The 25,467-nt window shown below is 41.2% G+C and overlaps 2 protein-coding genes across 2 annotated transcripts in view, besides 2 other annotated features; both read left to right on the top strand.

Moving 5' to 3' along the window:
- Positions 1-25,467, top strand: part of NUDT3 (nudix hydrolase 3) — a 112,991-nt gene that overhangs the window by 60,889 nt on the left and 26,635 nt on the right. The gene's annotated exons all lie outside the window — the stretch shown is intronic.
- Positions 1-25,467, top strand: part of RPS10-NUDT3 (RPS10-NUDT3 readthrough) — a 138,876-nt gene that overhangs the window by 94,289 nt on the left and 19,120 nt on the right. The window lies entirely within an intron of this gene.
- Positions 3,759-4,568: an enhancer, noted in NCBI's record as "H3K27ac hESC enhancer chr6:34294990-34295799 (GRCh37/hg19 assembly coordinates)". NCBI's record gives its function as "activates a minimal SCP1, AML or CMV promoter by ChIP-STARR-seq in naive H9 embryonic stem cells {active_cell/tissue: H9 hESC(naive)}" and the evidence as "EXISTENCE:reporter gene assay evidence [ECO:0000049][PMID:30033119]".
- Positions 6,658-7,299: an enhancer, noted in NCBI's record as "H3K27ac hESC enhancer chr6:34292259-34292900 (GRCh37/hg19 assembly coordinates)". NCBI's record gives its function as "activates a minimal SCP1, AML or CMV promoter by ChIP-STARR-seq in naive H9 embryonic stem cells {active_cell/tissue: H9 hESC(naive)}" and the evidence as "EXISTENCE:reporter gene assay evidence [ECO:0000049][PMID:30033119]".

The following is a 25,467-nucleotide window of genomic DNA, read 5'->3' as shown; positions in this document are numbered from 1 at the left end:
GGAAATACAAGGGAACAAAGTCGGTACGTGTTCAGTACAGATACAATTTTTAAAAAAATTCTTGATCTGCAGTTGGTTGAATCCACAGACGTGTAGTGCACAAATACGGAGGGCCGACTGTATTTGTAGTCACCCTGATAGTTTGTGACACAGCCATTGCTTTTTTAAAAAGTGTGGTTAGTTCTCTGTGACTTCCTCACTTCTATCCTAATAGTACTTCTGTGCTACTCCTCTGGCTCATGCCACCTGTTGCTTTGCCATAGAAACAGTCCATCTTCAGGTTGGTGATATCTGCTTAGATTTCCCTGTATCTTTGCTGCCCTCCTTCAAGTTTTTGTACAAGTTAGTATGTACAGTGTCATACATAAAATAAAAATTCCACAGCATGTTTTACTTAATTAACCTTCATTAAAGAAAGTTGTAAAAGAAAAAAGAAAAATCCAGCAGGTCATGGACAACTTAAAAAGAAAGTTTGGAAAAAAAAAAAAAAAAGAAAGTTTGAAAGTCTAAATACCTTAATGTAGAATAATTGAGGTTGCCTTCCTAATGGCACCGCAAGAGTTCAGAGCTGCTCAATTATCTCTAGCCTTGTTAATCTATCCGCAGTCTATCAAGAAGTTATTTTAGGCCAGGTGCGGTGGCTCACCCTTATTATCCCAGCACTTTGGGAGCCCAAGGTGGGTGGATCACTTGAGGTCAGGAGTTCGAGACTAGCCTGGCCAATATGGTGAAACCCCATCTCTACTAAAAGTACAAAAATTAGCTGGGCGTGGTAGCATGTGCCTGTAGTCCCAGCTACTCAGGAGGCTGAGGCAGGAGAATTGCTTGAACCTGGAAAGCAGAGGTTGCAGTGAGCCAAGATCGTGCCATTGCACTCCAGCCTGGGCATCACAGTGAAACTCCATCTCAAAAAAAAGAAGTTATTTTAACTCCTCTTGATTCCATTTGTATTTTCTTTTCTTTTTCTTTTTTTCTTTTTGGAGACAGAGTCTTGCTCTGTTGCTTAGGTTGGAGTGCAGTGGTGTGATCTCAGCTCACTGCCACCTCCACCTCCCTGGCTCAAGTGATCCTCGCACCTTGGCCTCCTGAGTAGCTGGGACTACAAGTAAGCATGCACCACCACACCCAGCTAATTTTTGTATTTTTTGTAGAGCTGGGGTTCCACCATGTTGCCCAGGCTGGTCTCAAACTCCTGAATTCAAGCAATCTGTCCACCTTGGCCTCCAAAAGTGCTAGGATTATAGGCACGAGCCACCATGCCCAGCACCATTTTTATTTTCTAATAAGAATATGGAAAATGCCATAGTGAACTTTATTTAAAAAATGTGTATCTTCTACATTTACGCAGCCAACAGACACATGAAAAAATGCTCATCATCACTGGCCATCAGAGAAATGCAAATCAAAACCACAATGAGGTACCATCTCACACCAGTTAGAATGGCGATCATCAAAAAGTCAGGAAACAACAGGTACTAGAGAGGATGTGGTGAAATAGGAACACTTTTACACTGTTGGTGGGACTGTAAATTAGTTTAACCATTGTGGAAGACAGCATGGTGATTCTTCAAGGATCTAGAACTAGAAATACCATTTGATCCAGCCATCCCATTACTGGGTATATACCCAAAGGATTATAAATCATGCTGCTATAAAGACACATGCACACGTATGTTTATTGCAGCACTATTCACAATAGCAAAGACTTGGAACCAATCCAAATGTCCGTCAATGATAGACTGGATTAAGAAAATGTGGCACATAGGCACTGTGGAATACTATGCAGCCATAAAAAAGGATGAGTTCATGTCCTTTGTAGGGACATGGATGAAGCTGGAAACCATCATTCTGAGCAAACTGTCACAAGGACAGAAAACCAAACACCACATGTTATCACTCATGGGTGGGAATTGAACAATGAGAACACTTGGACACAGGGTGCGGAACATCACACACCAGGGCCTGCCATGGGGTGGGGTTGGGGGAGGGATAGCATTAGGAGATATACCTAATGTAAATGAGGAGTTAATGGGTGCAGCACACCAACATGGCACATGTATACATATGTAACAAACCTGCAAGTTGTGCACATGTACCCTAGAACTTAAAGTATAATAAAAAAAAATTTTTTTTTAAGTATCTTCTCATCCTAATTCCTGTACCATGTATTCCCTGTCCCTGCAAAAGAATGGTTGTTCTTGACTGGGCACGGTGGTTCACGCCTGTAATCTCAGCACTTTGGGAGGCCAAGGCAGGCGGATCACCTGAGGTCAGGAGTTCGTGACCAGCCTGGCCAACATGGTGAAACCCCATCTCTACTAAAAATACAAAAATTAGCCAGGCGTGGTGGCAGGCGCCTGTAATCCCAGCTACTCGGGAGGCTGAGGCAGGAGAATCGCTTGAACCCGGGCAGTGGAAGTTGCAGTGAGCTGAGATCGCGCCATTGCACCCCAGCCTGGGGGATAAGAGCGAGACTTCATCTCAAAAAAAAATGGTTGTTCTCTTTTTTATATATATATTTGTGTATATGTGTGTATATCTATGTATATATGTATTTTTATGTATATCTCTCTATATATATACACAACACACACAGAGCAACCAGAAGGCTCCATATGGTATCTCAGAACAGTCTCTAACAGGAAAGCAGAATTTCATGTTTCATGTTATACAAGAGTAGAACACTTAAAAAATCTGTGACTACTTGGGAGTAATTTAAGATATTCATTGTCACCAGTTTTTTAGTTCATTAATGTTTGGCTCTGGAGTGGGGGAAAAAAAGTGAAGGCACAGTATGACTGTGTTGTATTTTCATCTGTACCTTTTACCCAGCCTGAGCAGTTGTGAATAGAAAGTGGAGTGTAGGCTATCATAGGATTTATCAGAGAAATAACATGCATTTTTAAAACCCAGAACTTTAATCACAAAATTATATATCATTTAGTAGCAAAACTTTATGAATAATATATTAAGGATACTTTTGATCATTTCAACATAAGTATAGCAGTTTGGGGAATTATGAGGAATTAATATGGTCAGGGGTCTCCGGCTCATAAACTTGTCAGGAAGGGGACAGGCAGTTGACAGTAAGTACACCTCTGACAAGGTGGGTACAGCTGTAGTCCCAGCTACTTGGGAGGCAGAGGAGGGAGGATTGCTTGAGCCTAGCATCAAGGCTGCAGTGAGCTGTGATTGCACCAGTGCATTCCAGCCTGGGTTACAGATCAAGACCTTGTTAACAACAAAAAAAGTATACACAGATGCTTGAATTAGGATAATATGCAATCTTCTTTGTACTTTCCGTTTTTTCATTCTACTAGGAACATGTATTATTTTTATAATCAGAAAAAAATGGTAAGCTATAGTGGAGTGGGCGCTAGCTTAATCAAGTGATAAAACTTGGCTACACTAATACACTAGTGGTAGTTAAGTCCCAATGTGTATACATACATCAAAACGTCATGCAGTACACCGTAAATGTATATAATTTTTATTTGTCAGTTAGACCTAAATAAAGATGGGGGTAAGGGGAAGACCCAGTGTGATCAGATCCTCTGATGTTTCAAGAGAAACTTGAAAGCTGGATTCTTGGCCGGGCGTGGTGGTTCACTGTGGGCGGAAGATTACCCAGGTGCCGAGGCAAGAGACTGAAGGCACAAACTGTTTCAGTATAATAAAGAAAGTAGTTAGAATAAGAATAGTTATCATACAAATTAGATATAGAGATGATCATGGACATTATCAATCATTAGCATAAACATTATTAATCATTAGCTTTTAATATTACTCTTTGTTGTATTACTAATATAACCAAGGAATAACTGGCAGGTACAGGGTCAGGTGCTGAAGGGACATCGTGAGCAGTGACCAAGAAGGCAAGAGGTGAGCCCTCTGTCACACCCACATAAGGGCCGCTTGAGGGCTCCTTGGTCAAGCGGTAATGCCAGCGCCTGGGAAGACACCAGTTACTTAGCAGACTGTGAAAGGAAGTCTCCCTTTCCTTGGAGGAGTCAGGGAACACTCTGCTTCACCTGCTTCTTGTGGGAGGTTGGATATTATCCAGGCCTGCCCACAGTCATCTGGAAGCTTAAACCCCTCTCTGTAGTGCTGTGCTTCAGTGGTCACGCTCCTTGTCCACTTTCATGTTCCTCCCATACTCCTGGTTCCTTTTTGAAGTTCTTAGAAGATAGCGGTAAAAGAAATAGTTAAAGTCTTAAAATCTTTGATCTTTCTTTCTTTTTTTTTTTTTTTTGAGGCGGAGTCTCGCCCTATTGCTAGGCTGGAGTGCAGTGGCACGATCTCAGCTCACTGCAACCTCCACCTCCCAGGTTCAAGCGATTTTCCTGTCTCAGCCTCCCAAGTAGCTGGGAATACAGGTGCGCACTACCATGCCCAGCTAATTTTTTGTATTTTTAGTAGAGACAGGGTTTCACCATGTTGGCCAGGATGGTCTCGATCTCTTGACCTCGTGATCCACCCGCCTCGGCCTCCCAAAGTGCTGGGATTACAGGTGAGCCACCGCGCCCGGCCTGTCTTTGATCTTTCTGATAAGTGCGTAGAAGAAAACGCTGACGTATGCTGCCTTCCCTCTCTGTTTCGGCTACCTATAAGGGAAGGGCCCCCTGTCCTATGATCATGTGACTTGCTTGACCTTATCAATCATTTGGATGACTCACCCTCCTTACCCTGCCCCCTTGTTTTGTATACAATAAATATCAGTGCACCCAGCCATTCAGGGCCACTACCGGTCTCCGCGTCTTGGTGGTAGTAGTCCCCCCGGGCCCAGCTGTTTTCTCTTTATCTCTTTGTCCTGTGTCTTTATTTCGTACGATCTCTCTCTCGTCTCCACACACGGGGAGAACACCCGTCAAGCCCCGTAGGGCGGGACCCTACATTTCACGCCTGTAATCCCAGCACTTTGGGAGGCCACGGCGGGTGGATCACCTGAGGTTAGGGGTTCGAAACCAGCCTGACCAACATGGTGAAACCCTGTCTCTACTAAAAACACGAAAATTAGCTGGGCATGGTGGCGGGTGCCTATAATCCCAGTTAGTCGGGAGGCTGAGGCAGGAGAATTGCTTGAACCTAGGAGGCAGAGGTTGCAGTGAGCTGAGATCACGCCACTGCACTCCAGCCTGGGCAGCAGAGCAAGACTCCGTGTCAAAAAAAAGAAAAAAAAAAAGCTGGATTATCATGTAAGATCTTCTGATCTTTCAATGTGGGCAACTAATTTGAAAAATTGGCTTTTAAAAATGTTAGAGTAATGTCTGCATATGGATTAAAAAGACCAACAGTAGTAGGACTGAAAGGCTCATAGTGAAAAACAACCAAAGTATGTGTTAATTAAATGAATGAGCTGTGTTCCGAATTTTAACTTTATTTTAAACTGTAAATTGATAAACTCCAACCTCTTAGAAGATAGTTTTTGTTTTTTTGTCTCCGAAAGCAAATAAAGGTTTTTAACCTTGGGAATATTTTACTGTTAAATAAAAATGTTAAAATTAGAAAGTGTAGCTAGATGTAGTTTGCTAAAATTATCTAGATGTAAATTCTTAAAATTAGAAAGTGTATCTAGATGTAAAAAGTCAGGAGAGACCATGAGTTGCTCCCGTTTGTTTAAAAGCAGGCTTTATGTAGATGGCATTCTCGAACTTCCATTATTTAATTTTTTAAGGATTTTAAATCACATGAACATGAATTCCTAATAACAATGTACATGTATGGCCTATGGCCTATGGCTTTATCTTTAAAATCAGAACTAAAATAGGCAAATAATTTTTCTGTATGTTTGACATTTTTCAAAATGAAAAGTTGAGAAAATAAGCGTAAGTACTTATTATATATATACCAGCTATATTCAAGTTCCTGAGCTGGAAGCTACAAAGGACGGTGATGTGACAGATGCCACTTTCCCTAAGACAGATTGTATGTTTGTCAACATTGCCATGTCTGTCAGCACTACCGTGTCTTTATTTTTACTTGATAAGAAGACAGATATTTTTATCTCCTTTGGTCACAGCACTACAATATATAAGAATCATCATGTCTTAGTACATTATATGTGAGGATCTTATTCTGATAATTTATTCTTTTTAAAGGATTTAGTGGGAAATGTGGCTCCGTAGTAAAAATTTCAGGAAAACCTTTGTTCACCTAACATGAACATATATTTTTGTGTGAGGAAGCATCTTTATTCCGCCCTCCTAGGAAAACTCATACACAAAAATACAGCAAAAGAAGTTAAAAGCTTATCCTTAGCAAAATAATTTTGTCTGGGTGCAGTGGCTCACGCCTATAATCCCAGCACTTTGAGAAGCCCAGGTGGGAGGATCACTTGAGCCCAGGAATTTGAGACCAGCCTAGGCAACAAAGGGAGACCTTATCTCTACAAAAAGTTTTTAAAAAGGAACCAGACATGGTGGCTTGCACTTATAGTTCCATCTACTCAGGAGGCTGAGGAGGGAGGATCGCTTAAGCCCAGGAGTTTGAGGCTGCAGCAAGCTATGGGCAACAGATCGAGACCCTGTCTCTTTAAAAAAGAAAAAAGAAAAAAAAATTCATTATATAAAGTAATCAGTGAAAGCATATCATGTTTTAATGTAGAAGGTGGTGTGAGGCAGTTTTACATTAGAAGACAGAATGAATCCCATAGATCTCTGGCATTACCTTTCAGGCCCTTAAGTAAATCGGTATTGAATCTCCTGTTTCTGGCAGCTGAGAACTTAGAAAGGGCCTTCCTTCTCAGTTACAGTTCGGGGATGAAGGCAAGCCTTGGCATAGACATAGCCTCCAGTGAAGGGCCTGGCTGAGTTGCAATTGTGATGATTCCTGTGCTCAGCTTTTGCTCTGTGCTCACGTGGCCGAGTGTAATTCAACACTGGCCCCACAGCCATATTCCTAGTAGAACCGCCTCTCTCTCTTTTCAGAGAAGCGTCTCTGCTCTGAGGCTGTTACTAAATGGTAAATGGCTGCCTCTGGGTTATTACCTTGATTACTTCTAGAGTCATCCTTAAGATGATTGACTTTTTAGTGGCTCTGTCATTCTGGTGTTTGCAAAAATTCATGGTAGATACTATTGACTATATAAAAAGTGGTATTCATAATGTTATTACATATTTGTGTTAGTGACCATTTTAGTTTTAAATATATAGGTGCTTTTGACTAAGACCATTAGAGTGATTTGTAAAGTTTTAACCCTAAAAATGGAGACATGCTGGGTGCAGTGGCTTATGCCTGTAATCCCAATACTTTGGGAGGCCAAGGCAGGAGGATCACTTGAGGCCAGGAAGTCAAGATTACAGTGAGCTATGATCATGCCACTGCACTCTGTCCTGGGCACAAGTGAGACCCTATCTCAAAAACAGCAACAATAACAATTATATGATCTAAACAAGGCTCTTATTCTGAAGGCTTTTTTTTTTTTTTGGAAGCGTAGTCTTGCTCTGTCGCCCATGCTGGAGTGCAGTGGTGTGATCTCAGCTCACTGCAACCTCTGCCTCCTGGGTTCAAGCCATTCTTCTGCCTCACAGTCTCCTGAGTAGCTGGGATTAGAGGTGTGTGCCACCATGCCAGGTTAATTTTGTATCTTTAGTAGAGACGGGGTTTCCCGTGTTGGCCAGGCTGGTCTCAAACTCCTGACCTCAGGTGATCTGTGCACCTCCACCTCCCAAAATACTGGGATTACAGGCATGAACCACCACGCCCAGCCCATTCTGAAGGCTTTTAAGTGCTCCTGGTAAGCACTTAGTGATGCTATTAGTGTATTAGTGTAGCCAAGTTTGATCACTTGATTAAGCTAGTGCCCACTATAGCTTACCATTTTTTTCTGTTCATAAAAATAATACGTGTTCCTAGTAGAATGAAAAGACAGCGCAAAGAAGATTATATATTACCCTAATTCCATGGCTAATTATTTTTCTGAACTTTTCAGTCATGAAAATTTTCAAGCATACAAGAAAAATTCAAAAATAGTACAATAAACACTATACCTTCTTCTAAATACAACATCTTTTGACCTTTTGCGTACTCGCTTTATCTTTCTATATTGTTACTTTTTTGGCTATTCCATTTGAATGTAAAGTTGTAGATAGTGTGACACATCACTCCTAAATTCTATTCTTTAGCATGTATTTCTTTTCCTTTTCTCTTTTTTCTCTTCTCTTCGCTTCGCTTCGCTTCTCTTCTTTGTTTCTTGTTTCTTTTCTCTTTTTTTTTGAGACAGGATCTCCTTGTGTTACCCAGGCTGGAGTACAGTGGTGCAATCTCTGCTTACTGTCACGTCTACCGCCCAGGCTCAAGCAGTCCTCCCACGTTAACCTCCTGAGTAGCTGGGACTACAGGCACAAGCCACCACACCCAGCTAATTTTTGTATTTTTTGTAGAGATGGAGTTTCACCATGTTTCCCAGGCTGGTCTTGAAATCCTGGGTTCAAGAGATACACATGCCTTGGCCTCCCAAAGTGCTGGGATTATGGGCCACTGTGCCCAGCCCGTCTTTCTTTGTGCCCGCCCACCCTTCCTCCCTCTCTTTCCTTCTTTCCATTTTAAAATTTAGATTTGGGGGATACATGTGCACATGGGTATATTGCATGTTGCTGAGGTTTTGGCTTCTAATGACCCTGTCACCCAAATAGCAAACATAATACCTGATGGGTTGTTTTTCAACTTCCCCCCTCCCCACTTTTAGAATCCCCAGTGTTTATTGTTCCCATCTTTGTGTACATGTGTACCCAGTGTTTAACTCCCACTCATAAGTGAGAACATGCAGTATTTGGTTTTCTGTTTCTGTGTTAATTTGCTTAGGATAATGGGCTCCAGCTGTAACCATGTTGCTGCAAAGGACATTATTTCGTTCTTTGTTATGGCTGCATAGTATTCCATTTTGTATATGTACACTTTCTTTATCCAGTCCACTATTGATGGGCACTTGGGTTGATTCCACCTCTTTGCTATTGTGAATAGTAGCATGCATCTCTTTGGAATAAGGCCAGTCTCCTACATAACCACATACCATTGTCACATCTAAAGAAATTTGTAATAATTCCATGATATTATCCAGTATTGACTCTATATTCAAATGTCCCCAGTTATCATGAAATGTTTGTTATATTTGTTTCCTCACTAGGCCTTAACCTAGGTTCACACATTACTGTTGCTTGTATGTCTTTTTAGGCTGTTTTATCATAGAACTGTATTTCCATTCTTCCCATATGCCTGTCCCCAAAGATACTGACTGTTTTATAAGAGTCCAGTGACCGGGCGCAGTGGCTCATGCCTGTAGTCCCAGTACTTTGGGAGGCCAAGGTGGGCGGATCACAAGGTCAGGAGATCAAGACCATCCTGGCTAACACAGTGAAACCCCGTCTCTACTAAAAATACAAAAAATTAGCTGTGCGTGGTGGCGGGTGCCTATAGCCCAGCTACTCGGGAGGCTGAGGCAGGAGAATGGCGTGAACCCGGGAGGCGGAGGTTGCAGTGAGCTGAAATCGTGCCACTGCACTCCAGCCTGGGCGACAGAGCGAAACTCCATCTCAAAAAAAAAAAAAAGAGTCCAGGGTAGTTGTCTTATAAAATGCCTCACATCCTGGTTTTGTTTGATTGTTTCTTCCTGGTTTCCTTTAACTTGTTTCCCCATCCTCTGTATTTCCAGCAACTTAGTCTAAAACAGTGCCATCCAATAGAACTTTCTGAAGTGAAGGAAAAGTTCTATATCTTCGTTGTTCCGTATGGCATCCACTAGCTGCCTTACGTGGCTAGTTAAACTAATTAAGGCTTTCTGGGCACACTGCCTATGGGATAGTTCTGCTTCACAAGAAGCGGTAAAACAACAACAACAAAAACAAACTAATTAAAATTAAATAAATACAAAATTCAGTTTCTTAGTTACACTAGCCACATTTCAAGTGCTCAGTAGCTACATGTATATCATGTTCACCGTTTTGAACAGCCCAGGTTTGGAGGCTTGATTAGATTTAGGATAAATATTTTTGGTGAGTTGCACATAGGTATGCTGTGTGCTTCCTGATGCTCATGTCACTTGAGGAGGTTCTAGTACCTGGGCGCCTTGGTGAGAGTGTAGTACTGCTCAGTGACTTGCATACCCATGGAATGGATTGGGAAAGATAGTGGTGGTCGATCTTCCCTGAGATTTGCCACTTCTAAGCAGAGAAGAAATAATAAGCGAAAAATATATATATTATACCTCACTGATTATCAGATGAATGCAAATTAAAGCAAGCTGGTATCTTGCTCTTACTACATTAGCCAAGATTTTAAAACTAATTCTATTAATGATGAAGGAGACAACACGTTATTATTATTATTTTATTATTATTATTATTTTTGAGATGGAGTCTCGCTCTGTTGCCCAGGCTGGAGTGCAGTGGTACGATCTCGGCTCACTGCAATCTCTGCCTCCCAGGTTCAAGCGATTCTCCTGTCTCAGCCTCTTGAGTAGCTGGGATTACAGGTGCGCACCACCACGCCCAGCTAGTGTTTTGTATTTTAGTAGAGATGGGGTTTCACTGTGTTGCCCAGGCTGGTCTTGAACTCCTGAGCTCAGGCAATCCACCTGCCTCGGCCTCCCAGAGTGCTAGGTTCACATGCGTGAGCCACCGTGCCTGGCCTGAGACAACACATATTATAACCTTAAGGATGTCTGTGCTATCTTGGACCCTATGTGCCAGTCATTCTAACTGCTTTCCAGGACCCCACACATCTGACATAATGCATGCGGTTCCCTCCTGTCCCTCCTGCTAGAAACCGTGCCCTATCCTTTTGCCACCTAGAGACGCCTCTTTGGGTTTTCAGCTTAGTCACTACATTTTATCAAAGCTTTTATGACTTTCCATGCTGATATGTAAGTGCTTTTTTCACCATCTCATTGTAATGTAAATTTCAAGTGTGTTTTTCCTGTATATTTAATGTGGACTATTTATTTATTTATTTTGAGACAGGGTCTCACTTTGTCCAAGCTCGAATGGAGTGGTGTGATCATAGCTCACTGCAGCCTCGACCTCCTGAGCTCAGGTGATCCTCCCACCTCAGCCTCCTGAGTAGCTGGGACCACAAGTGCATGCCACCACGCCTGGCTAATTTTCTTGTATTTTTTGTAGAAATGGGGTTTCACCATGTTGACCGGGCTGGTCTCGAACTCCGGGCTCAAGAAATCCACCCACTTTGGCCTCCCAGGGTGCTGAGATTACAGGCGTTAAGTCACTGTGCCCAGCCTAGTGTGAACATTTTAAAAGCAGAAAAGTAGGCTGGGTGCAGTGGCTCACGCCTGTAATCCCAGCACTTTGGGAGGCCAAGGTGGGCGGATCACGAGGTTAGGAGTTTGAGACTAGCCTGGCCAACATGGTGAAACCCTATCTCTAAAAATACAAAAATCAGCTGGGCGTGGTGGCAGGCGCCAGTAATCCCAGTTACTTGGGAGCCTGAAGCAGGAGAATCGCTTTAAACCCGGGAGGCGGAGGTTGCAGTGAGCCGAGATCACAGCACTGCACTCCAGCCCAGGCAACCATACGAGACTCCGTCTCCAAAAAAAAAAGAGCAGAAAAGTAAAAAGAACAAAATTTAAAATTTTCATACTCGCCACTAGTAACATTTTGATATATTTCCTTTTGTGTGAGTTTTCGCCTATTAACAGCCCTCCTTCTTGACTGTGGGCTTTTCAAGAGTATTTTCAAATATTGGATACAGAAGTGAACTAGGAGGTTCATGTAAATTATTAAAAAGGAGACAGAAGTTTCTCTTTACTGTTGTGATATTGACACATATATATAGATGTTTTCGTCTCAGGTTCCTGGCTCCTAACTGTCATAGCCTTTTGGAGTTAACAGTCTTTTGTTATAATGTTGGAGCACTTTAGGCCTCAGGAGCAGGCCTCAGAAAACAGAATCTCTGTCTCTGACTTTCTCCTGCCCTCCTTTTACCTGCCCAAGGCAGGACTCTAATCTTTCCCCGCCTTTATGATGATGGGTCACAAGATCCTCATTCCAGAGAAGGTCATACCCCATATGTTAGAGGAAGAAATCCTGCACAGAAAGGCCAAGAAGAATCTGAACAAACAGGCCTTGCTAGGTTTTCCTACTCAGTCGATTAGTATTAACTCATACCCTTTGTGTTCAATCACATTTCAACATGGTTGTCCAATCATGCCTATCCAATGAAGTCTCCATAAAAGGCCTAAGAGGACAGAGTTCAGGGAGCTTCTGGGTAACTGAACACGTGGAGGTTCCTAGAGAACAGCACACCCAGGGAAGCCATGGAAGCTCTGTGCAGCTTCCCCCAACCTCGCCCTGTGCATCTCTTAATCTGTATGGCTTATATTCATTGTAATATACTGGTAAATGTGAGTTTCCCTGAGTTATGTGAGCTGCTTTAGCAATTGAGCCCAAATAGGGGGTCATGGAAATCCCAACTTGAAGCTAGTTGGTCAGAAGTTCTAGAGGCCTGGACTTGTGACTGGTAGGAAGGAGGGTGTTGTGGGACTGAGCCCTCAACCTTGGTTTCTGGGGCTGTCTTCCGGTAGATAGATTCAGAATTGAGTTGGATGACAACCTGCTGGCATCCACTGCAGAACTGATCCCTGCTTGGTGTGGGAGAGGAAAACCTCCACACATTTTGTTACAGAAGCCTTCTGTGTTGATTGTTTGGTGTGAGAGCACAGAAAAAACATGGTTTGAGTTTTCCCTGCCTTACAGCTGTCATTTTCTACCATCCCAGCCCTTTTTTTTTTTTACTGTCCCAGCTCTGTTTTCCTAGAAAAGCCCTATCTCTCCTCTCTTGCCACAGGCTTGGACACATTGACTAAATCTTCTAACTTTCTGTGTCTTTTGGTTATATCTCACCCTAGCACTTTCACTTCTAAGCATATGCTGAGAAGTGCTTATTTATGAGCACAAAGAAGCATGTACAGGCTGGGCATGGTGGCTCACACCTATAATCCCAGCACTTTGGGAGGCCATGGTGGGAGGATCATTTGAGTCCAGGAGTTTGAGGCCAGCCTAGGCAACATAGCGAGACTTCATCTCCAGTTAAAAAAAAAATTTTTTTTAAAGAAACATGTACAAGAGGTTCATCACAACTTTATTTGTAATAGCAAAAAATTAGAAACAGTCTAAATGTCCACCGATAGGAGAATGGTTGTGTCAAATATGACACATTTGTATTTTTTATTACCATCCAGCAGTTTAAAAATAATATAGGAAATCTTTATATCCCAACATAGAGCGTCCTGTAAGACACATAGTTAAATGTTTGTTGAAGATAAGGTTAGTTGGCAAGCATGATCCCATCTGGGTAAAATAAAATGTACAAAAACGTATTTGTGTGTGTTCATATATATGTAAATATATAGAGTGGAATCTGGCAGGGAAAATATTAAACTGATTAGAGTGATTACCTCTGGGGAAGGAATTGGGACTGGAAGGAAGCCATGGAAACTTTTACTTTATCTAAAGTTTAAAAAATTTTTTTACAACCCCATCATCTTTTCCAGAGTCTGGGCAGAAATGTGAAGCAATCGAGCAATTGTAAAAGTTAGTATTTAAAGTGCTTAAGGATACAGCCATCCTTTCCCCCAAGAATTCTAAAGGGATATATTTGAGCTTAGAAAAGTTAAAATTAGAATTGCTGAAATTCCGTTCTATATTGTCTTCTCCTTGGGTACAAGGAAATGAAAGCAAAGATGTCTCTGGGGGCAGATGGCAGAGCTTCAGTTAGGTTTTTGCTTTTGATGCAAGTTTATTTTCAGCTTTTAAACCTGACCTTGCTATTCTTAGAGTTTTAATTTTTTTAATTTAAATTAAAATGTTTTGTTTGTGAGGATAAGATGAGTTGGGAAAGAGATGGTTCACATGGAGATCATTGAGATAGCTGAGTATGTTTCCAGAGGACTGGGTTAATCTTTAAAGGGTTAAAAGACACTTTGACTAGAAGTAATCCATGAAGAACTATCAGATGTGTTAATCAGCCTGAGAGCTAGAGAATATTGCTCTTGTATATATTTATGTGACTTATGTTGGTGATGCTGACTTTTATGTATTGAAAAATGATGAGTTATCTGTTGCTACCTAATAAAACTTAAAATAAGGATAATCATTTGTTATCTCATGCTTTCTGTCAGACATGAATTCAGACAAGGTACAGCCATGTACCATGTTGTCTAGGGCCTCAGCTAAAAGAATCAAAGGCTGAGAGCAAAATACTGTTGGGGGGGTGGGAGAAAAGCTTGAATACCTTTTTCCAGCAGGCTTCCAGTAGGTTTTTCTCCTACATCTGAGTTGTCTTTGCTCATTTTTCCCTCTCTCTCCACCTCTTAACATTAGATGCCTTGGGATTCAGTCCTTGGTCTTTTTTTTTTCTTTGTCTGCTTCTCATTTATTCCTTGGTGATCTCTCCCAATCTGGAGGCTTTAAATACAGTAGGTAGGTGGTTGGATTAGTGGGTAGGTAGGTAGTTGTGTGGATGGGTGAGTAATCTATCCCTAACCACTGCTATTCTTAACCTGCCTACTTGGTATTTCCATTTGAATGTTCAGTAGCCATCTGAAACTCAGTATGTATAAGCCTTGATTCTACTGCCTTCCCCCAAACCTGCTTCGCCAGCAGTCTTCCCCATCTCAGTAGTGGCAGTCCATCCTTTAAGTTACTTAACCCAAAACCTAGAAGTCATCCTTGATTTTTGTTCTTTTCTTACACCTAATATCTAGTTCATCAGCAAATCCTGTTGGCTCTACCTTCAGAATACGTGTGTCTAGATTTCAGCCACTTCTCACTATCCCCCTGGTCCAAGCCACCATCACCACTCACCTCAATTCCTTAGCTACACCCCCTGCACCCTTGCCTTCTTCAGTCTACTACTTTCAACACAGTAGGCAAAATTATCCTGTAAAAAGAAACCAGATCAGATCATGTCACTCAAAGGCTTTCTAAGCTGAAGCCCTCAGATTGGCCTATGATCTGTCTCCCTCTGGGACCTCAGCTCTCACTCCCCTCTCTTTCTCACTGTGCTCCAGCAATACTGGTAGCCCCCTTGCTGCTCCTCTAATACCAGGCCTTTTCCCTCTCAGTGCCCTTGTAATTGCTGTTCCCTCTGCCTAAATCACCATGGTTGGAAATACAATCTTACATTAAACCTGGAGGAGAGAGACTTCATCCTGTTGCTTTTTTAAGTGCCTTTTATTGGTGAAGAAATGCCATGGTACTGAGGATGGGAAATTAAGTTTCAAATAACAGAATGTGTTTATACTAGAAGTAGCAAGTCCAAGCATTCACACCTATGCCAGATGAAATACTGTTTTTCATCCACCTACCTGCCATTCTTGCTCATTTATATCTCTTCTATATGAAGCAGTCCTGTCCTTTAGATGAGGTGGGAATTTCTAGGAGACTCTCTAATGCCACTAAAGTGTTCATTTCATTTGGCTCCATTTTTGTTCCTCTTTACTACCTTTTGTGATTGAGGGTGAATTAGAGGGCAGTCTGGGATGCCATCTGAATAACTGATTCTGTCAGTTAAGAGACTTGGTAGGGGTCCACATCAGGCCCTAAAATAGATACGGTTTTAGTTTCAAAATAAGCCATAAAAACACTCTCAAAAGAGCCAAGCTTTTGGGCCAGGTGTGGTGACTCACACCTGTAATCCCAGTGCTTTGGGAGACTGAGGTGGGAGGATTGCTTGAGATCAGGAGTTCAAGACCAGCCAGGGCAACGGAGAGACCTGTCTCTACGAAACAAAGTGAAAAGAGCCAGGCTTTTGAAGTGGGTTTCTAGAGTGGCGAGTAAGGCAGTCAAAAAGGGGAAGAGGTTGTTTTTAACCAGGATGACGAGAGCTCCTCCATGACATGCTTTATCGGAGATTTATGAAAGCAGGAAGAAAGACGATCAGCTATTTATGGCCATGTGACTAGCAAAGCTCTGGGTGTAAAACTGAATGAGGACATCACTTAGAAAATCCTTAAACTTGAGAAGTCTAAGGTAGTATGCCTGTTGTGTATAGAGACTGTGATATTAAGTGGAATTTATTTTTATGGGGTCATAGAATCACATTGTTGAAAGGATGTCAAGAGGTTATCTAGTTTAAATCTATACTTTTGGTCACACAGAAACCTATAACTGCAGGCCTTCAGTTTTTTCTTTTGAATACATATTTATAACAGATATGTCTGTACATGATCTAAATGAGTAAACTTTTTTTGAAACAGGGTTGTGCTCTGTCTTAAAAAAATTTAATGAAATAAATTACCTTTAATGCCATTGAATAGTGAGATGCCACTACATACCTATTAGAATGTCTAAAGTAAAAAATGATGTCATTTAGCAGATTGAGAATAAGAAAGGTAGATGCAGCTTATTGCAGCTTTCAAATAAACCGTTCATCTCTGGTGAGTGAATAGAATAGATGTGATATTAAATGTTTCAGAAAGAACAAGACCACCTTTGTAGTGGTATTTGGCAAAGTTGAATTTTTTTGTCATTTCAAACTGAAACTGGCAGTTCTGCCTTTAAAATGAAAGCTAGAAAATTGAGGAGGCTTTCAGGTAATAAGAGAACCAGAATCACTTAAGAATTCAAAACCAGTTTTTCTTAAGTGTTTGTTCCCCCCACTCCCTTTTTAAACCTGGTCCTTAATGTGGATTTTTCAGGTAGTCTAAAAGGCAAAAGATTTATGTAATACCCCTGTAGTAACTGCAAATTCAAAAAATAATTTAATGTTCCATTTAAATAAACTTATCTCCCCTGCAGAAGGTGTCCTGATTTATTTTCCCAGCGGCAGAGATCAGGAGGTTGATACGTGTATATGCTTTAAAATCAGAGGCACCTAGGTTCTAATCCTGGTGCTGATGTTTAACTGCATAGTATTGGCAAATTATTTATCATCTCTAGATATCAATTTTCTTGTCCGGAGCATAGATATCATGATATAATATCTGCTTCACAGGTAGACATTTAGTAAGAACTCAAATGCTAGGTATTATTATTACTAGAAAAACAGACTAATTTGCCCCGAATCACACAGTGACTTATGACCTGAACCCTCAGGAGTGTCTCCCAAAGCCCTGGGCTTTCATCTTCTCTTTTCTCCTCCCATCACCCTATTACCGTTGTTAGGAGGATGCTAGTTAAGTTAATGAAGTATATAAATAATTTTAGGTTCCTTTATGTAGTTAGGAAAGAAACTACTTTTGGCATTAGGGTTTAATTTTTTTTTTTTTTTTTGAGACAGAGTCTCACTCTGTTGCCCAGGCTGGAATGCAGTGGCTGGATCTTGGTTCACTGCAGCACCCACCTTCCAGGTTCAAGTGATTCTTCTGCCTCAGCCTCCCGAGTAGCTGGGACTGCAGGCGCATACCACCAGGCCTGGGTAATTTTTTTTTTTTTTTTTTTAGTAGAGACAGGGTTATGCCATGTTGACCAGGCTGGTTTCAAACAGCTGACCTCAGGTCGTCCACCCACCTCGGCCTTCCAAAGTGCTGGGATTACAGGTGTGAGCCACTGCGCCCGGCCTTATATTTTCAGTAGAGATGGGGTTTTGCCATATTGGCCAGGTTGGTCTCAAACTCCTGGCCTCAAGTGATCCACCCGCCTTGGCCTCCCAAAATGCTGGGATTATAGGCATGAGCCACCGCCCCCAGCCAAGGTTTATTTAATTTTTTTATGCTCAGAATTTTTTTTTTTTTGAGACGGAGTTTCACCCTTATTGCCCAGGCTGGAGTGCAATGGTGCAATCTTGGCTCACCACATCCTCCGCCTCCTGGGTTCAAGTGATTCTCTTGCCTCAGCCTCCCGAGTAGCTGGGATTACAGGCATGTGCCACCACGCCTGGCTAATTTTGTATTTTTAGTAGAGACGGGGTTTCTCCATGTTGGTCAGGCTGGTCTCGAACTCCCAGCCTCAGATGATCCACCCGCCTGGGCCTCCCAAAGTGCTGGGATTACAAGCGTGAGCCACCGCGCTTGGCCTAATTTTTTGTATTTTTAGTAGAGATAGGGTTTCACTGTGTTAGCCAGGATGGTCTCGATCTCCTGACCTCGTGATCTGCCCGCCTCAGCCTCCCAAAGTGTTGGAATTACAGGCGTGAGCCACTGCGCCCGGCCTTAACTTTTTTTTTTTTAAGCCGTTTTAGATTCACAGCAAAATTGAGTGCAAACCACACAGAGTTCCCATATACCCACCGACCCTACGTGTGCATAGCCCCCATTATCAACATCTCACACCACAGCAGTACATTTGCTACGGTCAATGTACCAACACTGACACATCATAATCACCCCGAATCCCTCGTTTTCATAAGGTTCCCTCTTGGTGTTGTACTTTCTTTGGATTTGTAGAAAGGCATAATGACATGTATCCAGAATTATAGTATCACACAGAATAGTTTCACTGCCCTATAAAAATCCTCTGTGCTCTGTGTATCATCCCTCCCTCCCCTAAACTCCTGACAACCACTGATCTTTTACTGTTTTCATACTTTTGCTTCTCCTAGAATGTCTTATAGTTGGAATATACAGTATGTAGCCTTTTCAGATTGACTTCTTCCACTTAGTAATACGCATTTAAGATTCCTCCATGTCTTTATTTTATTTTTCTGGTTTTTTTTTCAGAGACAAGGTCTCGCTCTGTCACCCAGGCCGGAGTGCAGTGGTGCAGTCTCAGCTCACTGCAAGCTTTGCCTCCCAGGCTCAAGCAGTTCTCTTACCTCAGCCTCCCTGGTGTCTGGGAGTACAGGCCTGTAGTCGTGCGCCACCATGCCCAGCTAATTTTTGTAGTTTTAGTAGAGAGGGGGTTTCGCCATGTTGGCCAGGCTGGTCTCAAACTCCTGACCTCAGGTGATCCACCCACCTCAGCCTCCCAAAGTGGTGGGATTATAGACGTGAGCCACCATGCCTGGCCCTCTCCATGTCCTTACATACATAACTTGATAGTTCATTTCTTTGAGCACCGAATAATAATCCTTTGTGTAAATGTACCACACCTTATTTATCCATTCACCTACTGAAGGACATCGTGGACTCGGACGTTGCTTCCGAGTTTTGGCAGTTATTAATAAAGCTGCTATACAGTAATCAGGACAGTGTGGTTTTAGTAAGAGACATATAAATAAATGGAACAATAGTGAGCCCAGAAATAGACCCACATTGATATGCAAGTTTTTGCATGGACATAAGCTTTCACCTCCTAATTTAGGTAAACACCAAGGAGTGCAATTGCTTTATGTGGTAATGGTATGTATAGTTTTGTAAGAAACTGCCAATGTCGCTGTATCATTTTGCATTCTTTCCAGAGAGCAAATAAGAGTTCCTGTTGTTCCACATCCTCACCAGCATCTGGTGTTGTCAGTGTTTTAGATTTTAGCTATCTTTTTTTTTTTTTTTTGGTGATGAGTCTCACTTTGTTGCCCAGGCTGGAGTGCAGTGGCAAGATCACAGCTCACTGCAACCTCCACCTCCCAGGTTCAAGCGATTTTCCTGCCTCAGTCTCCCAAGTAGCTGGAATTATAGGCGCGCACCACCACACTCGGCTAATTTTTGTATTTTTAGTAGAGACGGGGTTTTGGCATGTTGGCCAGGCTGGTCTTGAACTCCTGACCTCAAGTGATCCGCCCACCTCAGCCTCCCAAAGTACTGGGATTACAGGTGTGAGCCACCCACACCCTGCCAATTTTAGCTATCCTAATAGGTGTTTTCTATTTTAATGAAGTTCATCTTATCAATTTTTTCTTTCAGGTATTCTGCCTTTGGTGTTGCATCTAAAAATTCATTGCCAAACCAACGATCACCTATATTTTCCCTTGTGTTACCTTCTGGGAGTATTATAGTTTTGCGTTTTACATTTAGGTCTGTGATCCATTTTGAGTTAATTTTTTTTAAGGGTACAAAGTTTGTGTCTAGATTGATTTTTCTGCATGTGGATGGCCAGGCAAAAATGCCAGCATCATATGTAGAAAAGACAATTTTTTTCTCCATTGTATCGTTCTTATTCCTTTGTCAAAGATTTGTGTATTGTATTGATGTAGGTCTATTTCTGGGCTTGCTATTGTTCCATCTATTTATTTATTTGTCTCTTGCTAAAACCACACTGTCTTGATTACTGTAGCATTATAGTAAGTCTTGAAGTTGGGTATCCGTTCTCCAACTTTGTTCTCCTTTCTTAACGAGTTGACTGTCTGGGCTTTTGCATCTCCTTATAAACTTTAGGATCACTTTTTCAATATTCACAAAATAATTTTCTGGGATTTTAATTGGGATTGTGTTGAATCTGTAAATCAAGTTGGGAAGAACTGACATATTAATAATGTTGAGTCTTCCTATTCATTAACATGGATTGTTGCCATTTATTTAGTTTTTCTTTGATATCTGAAAGTTTTGTGGTTTTTTTATATAGATCTTGTACATGTGTGTTTTAAATTTATACCTAATTATTTCACTTTAGGAGGTGCTAATGTAAATTAAATGATATGTTTTTAATTTGAAATTCTACTTGTTTATTCTTGGGATGTAGAAAAGCAATTGACTTTTGTACATTACCCTTGTATCTTGCAGCCTAAAAACAAGCTAATTGTTTTAATTTCACAATTTTTTTGTCAATCCTTTTGGATTTTTAAAAAATTAAAATCATGTCATCTGCAAACGAATACAGTTTTGTTTTATTCTAGTTTCTCACCATTAAGCTTCTGGTTTCTCACCATTAAGCATGATGTTAGCGATAGTTTTTTGTACTTACTCTGTATCAAATTGAGGAAGTCTTCCTCTGTTCCTAGTTTGTCGAGAGTTTTTTTTTTTTTTTCCTTCTGTGTCCAACTGTGATTGGAGGTTGAGAGTTTCTTTTATCATGAGTAGGTATAATTTCGTTACATGCTTTTTCTGCATCTATACCTGATCATGTGACTTTTAGCTTGTTGATGCGATGGAATACATTAATTGATTATTGAACATCGAACCAGCCTTGGGAGAGATAAATCCCACTTGGTTTTAGGTGTAATTATTTTTACACATTGTTGGATTTGATTTACTACAAGATATTGGTCTGTAGTTTTCTTGTGATGTATTTGTCCTGTTTTGGTATGAGGGTAACGCTGGCCTCATAGACTAAGTTAGGAAGTATTCTTTCTTCTAAAAGAAATTGTAGAGAATTGGTGTAATTTTTTCCTTAACTTGTAGAATTCACCAGTGGCCCATCTGGGCTTGGTGTTTTCTGTTTTGGAAGGTTATTATGGTGGTGGTGGTGGTGGTGGATGTTGTTGTTATTTGAGACAGAGTCTCACTCTGTTGCCCAGGCTGGAGTGCAGTGGCATGATCTCAGCTCACTGCAACCTCCGCTTCCCAGTTCAAGTGATTCTCCCGCCTCAGCCTCCAGAGTAACTGGAATTACAGGCATGTACCACCGCGCCCGGCTAATTTTTGTATTTTTAGTAGACACAGGGTTTCACTGTGTTGGCCAGGCTGGTCCTGAACTCATGACCTCAAGTGATCCTCCTGCCTCGGCCTCCCAAAGTTCTGGGATTACAGGCGTGAGCCACCATACCCTGCTTTTGTTATTATTTTTGAGACAGGGTCTTGCTCTGTCACCCAGGCTGGCGTGCAGTGGTACAAACATAGCTCACTGGAGCCTCAAACTCCTGGGCCCAAGCAGTCTTCCAGCCTCAGCCTCCTGAGTAGCCGAGACTACATGAACAGACCACTATGCTCAGCTCATTTTTTTATTTTTTGCAGAGATGGGTCTCACTGGTTTTGCTCCTCCTTGTCTCAAACTTCTGGCCTCAAGCAGTCCTCCCACCTCAGCGTCCCAAAGTGCTAGGATTACAGGCATGCACCACCGCACCCAGCCAGTTATTAATTATTGATTTAATTTCTCTAATAGGTACAGGCTTATTGAGATTGTTTTTTCTTACGTGAGTTTTGACAGATTCTACCTTTCCAGGAATTGGTCATTTCATGTAGGTTGTGAAATCCATGGGCACAGGGTTGTTCATAGTTTTCTTTTATTTTCCTCTTTTTTGTTCATGGCATCTTTAATGATGTCTCCTCTTTCATGTCTAATATTAGTAATTTGTGTCTTCTTTTTTTCTTAATTAGCGTGGCTGAAGACTTATCAATTTTTATATGATTTTATTTTTATTACATATTTTAAACATACGTTTGTATACTTTTAGGCTTTTTAATTTTACTGACCTTTTAAATAACCAGTTTTGGGTTATGTTCATCCTCTCAATTGATTTTCTTTCTCAACTTCTTTGATTTCTGTTCTAATTTTTAATTATTTTCTTATGCTTACTTGGATTTAATTTGCTCTTTTTCTAGTTTCCTAAGGTAAAAGCTTAGATTATTAATTTTAGATCTTTCTTTTCTAATATATGCATTTAGCCTAAAGTTTTCCTCTAAGCACCACTCTCACTGCATCCCACAAATTTTGATGTTATATTTTTATTTTTATTCAAAAATTTTCTTGAGATTTCTGCTTTAATTCATATGTTATTTAGAAGTGTGTTGTTTAATCTCCAAATATTAGAGGATTTTCCAGCAATCTTTCAGTTATTGACTTCTTTCTTTTTTTTCTTTTTTTTGAGATAGGGTTTCATTATGCTGCCCAGGCTGGTCCCGAACTCCTGAGCTCAAGTGATCCTCCCATCTTGGCCTCCCAAAATGCTGGGATTACAGGTGTGAGCCACTGTCCCCAGCCAAATTGATTGATTTCTTAACTCCATTGTGGTCTGAGAGCATACATTTTAATGATTACTATTCTTTCAGATTTGTTAAGGTGTGTCTTGTAGTTCAGAATGTGGTCTGTCTTGTTGAATGTTCCATGTGAGCTTGAGAATAATGTGTATTCTGCTGTTGTTGGATGAAGTGGTCTATAGAGGTCACTTATGTCAATTTGATTTTCTGCCACCTAGATCTGCCTGTTTCGATAGAGGGGTATTGAAGTCCCCAACAGTAATAATGGATTCATCTACTTCTCCTTGCAGTTCTGTCAGTTTTTGCTTCATGTATTTTGATGTTCTGTTGTTAGGCATATACACATTAAGGATTATTATGTCATCTTGTAGAACTGACCCCTTTATCATTGTGTAATGTTTCTCTATTCCTGACAGCTTTCAAGCTCTGAAGTCTGCTTTTTCTGAGATTAGTGTAGTTAGTTACTCCTGCTTGCATTTGATTAGTGTTAGCACGGTATGTATCACTCTCCATCCCTTTACTTTCAAGGTATGTGTTTTTATACTTAAAGTGGTTTTCTTGTAGACAACATATTAAACATATTGGATGACTCTTGTTTTGTGATGCACTCTGACAGTCTCAGTATTTTTTTTTTTTTTTTTTGAGAGACGATCTCACGCTGTCTCCCAGGCTGGAGTGCAGTGGTGCAATCAGTGCTCACTGCAGTCTCGACCTCCCAGCCTCAAGTTGTCCACCCATCTCAGCTTCTTGAGTAGCTGTGATTACATGTAGGCACACACCACTATGCCTAGCTAATTATTTATTTCTTGTAGAGAGAGGGTGTCCCTATGTTGACCAGGCTGATCTCAAATTTCTAGGCTCAAGTGATCCTCCCACCTCCGCCTCCCTAAGTGCTGGGATTACTGGTGTGAGCCACCTGGCACCTGGCCTATCTTTTTTTTTTTTTTTTTTTTTTTTTTTTTTTTTTTTTTTTTTTTTTTTTTGAGACAGAGTTTCTCTGTGTCTCCCAGCTGGAGTGCAGTGGCACGATCTTGGTTCACCGCAACCTCTGCCTCCTAGGTTCAAGCGATACTCCTGCCTCAGCCTCCTGAGTAGCTGGGATTACAGGCATGTGCCACCATGCCCAGCTAATTTTTTTGTATTTTTAGGAGAGATGGGGTTTCACCATGTTGGCTAGGCTGGTCTCAAACTCCTGACCTCAAGTGATCCATCTGCCTCAGCCGCCCAAAGTGCTGAGATTACAGGCATGAGCCCCTGCACCCAACCCTGTCTTTTAATTGATGTATTTAGACCATTGATGTTTAAAGTGTAGTTGGATTAATATCTCCCATGTTTGATAGCTTTCTGTCCATTGCCCTTTGTTCTCTGTTCCTGTTCTTCCATTCTTTCTCTGCCTTTTGTGGTTTTAATTGAGCATCTTATATTATTTCATTTTTCTCTTTTGTTCTTATCCTTCATTTTAATGGGTTCCTTGGAAGAAGAGATAATATACGTAGTTGACCACTGCATTTCTTGTTAAAATTTTTAGAGACAGGTTCTCCCACTGTTGCCCAGACTGGAGAGCAGTGGTGCAGTCATAGCTCACTGCAGGCTCAACCTCCTGGGCTCAAGCGATCCTCCCATCTCACCCTCCTGAGTAGCTAAGACTACAGGCGTGCCACCATGCCTGGCTAATTTTTTTATTTTTGTAGAGATGGGGTCTCGCTTTGTTTCCCAGGCTGGTCTCGAACTCCTGGCCTCAAGCCATCGTCTTGCCTCGACCTCCAAAAGTGCTGGCATTGCAGGCATGAGCCACCACACCTGGCCTCAACTTTTTTTAAAGTTTTAGAATTATTATTTTTTATTATTGTTATTATTTTTAGAGACAGGGTCTTGATATGTTGCCCACGCTGGTCTTGAACTCCTGGGCTCATGCAGTCCTGCTACCCAGCCTCCCAAGTGGCTGGGATTACAGTTGTGTACCATCACACCCAATGTTTCAGAATTATATCTCTTTTTTCTCCTTTGACTTGAAAATAATGATATAAATGTTTTTGCTTCTCTAAGATACTGCACAGGAGTATCTTGCTTTTAATAGACTCCTCTTCACAAATTGCGCATAGGCCACATTGTTGTAAATACACTCATTTCTGTGTATAATTTATCTCAAAAGCTAGTAGCGTTTAAAAAAGAATTGCTCCTTAGTCGAGGAACTGATATTTTAAATTGACTAATTTAAAGGTATTTTGCTGTTAGCACACTTTTAGTACAAATAACTACTCTAAATTACTTTTTAACCACTTTTTAACAACTGGAATTAAAGATATCTTTTTACTCAGTTTAGTGGTCTGTGTTATAATACATTGAATGGTACCCATTGACAAATATTAAGTTTAGTGGCTAAGTGTACAGATTAGAATATGCCCTGTTAGAGAGAATATAGTACTGTATTTGAGCTGGTTTGTGTTGGAACCCTGAATAGAGGTGGAATTACTGGGACAGGAGCCAGTCGCCTTCTGCGAAATGAAATGAGTCCAGAAGAGTCTTCCAAAACAGTTGTGTTTGCTTTTCCATCCAGCTCCACATTCCAGGAAAGGATTTTTAGTCATTAGGAAATATATCCACAGCTTACTTTCCATTGACTTCAATATAATTAACAGTGGTTTCAGCAAACACTAAATGCAACCCTTGCCTCTGGAGATTCCACAATCGTTAAACTACCAACAGCTGCTGGATTTAGACAAATGTAACTTATCCGGCCTTGTTGCCACTTAACAGCTTTCTCTTAATTCCATGGACTTATGAATACA

The sequence above is a fragment of the Homo sapiens genome, chromosome 6 (genome assembly GCF_000001405.40).
Source record: "Homo sapiens chromosome 6, GRCh38.p14 Primary Assembly".
Lineage (NCBI taxonomy): Eukaryota > Metazoa > Chordata > Mammalia > Primates > Hominidae > Homo > Homo sapiens.
The sequence above is the reverse complement of the archived record's forward strand: the minus strand, read 5'-3'. Positions and strand labels throughout refer to the sequence as shown.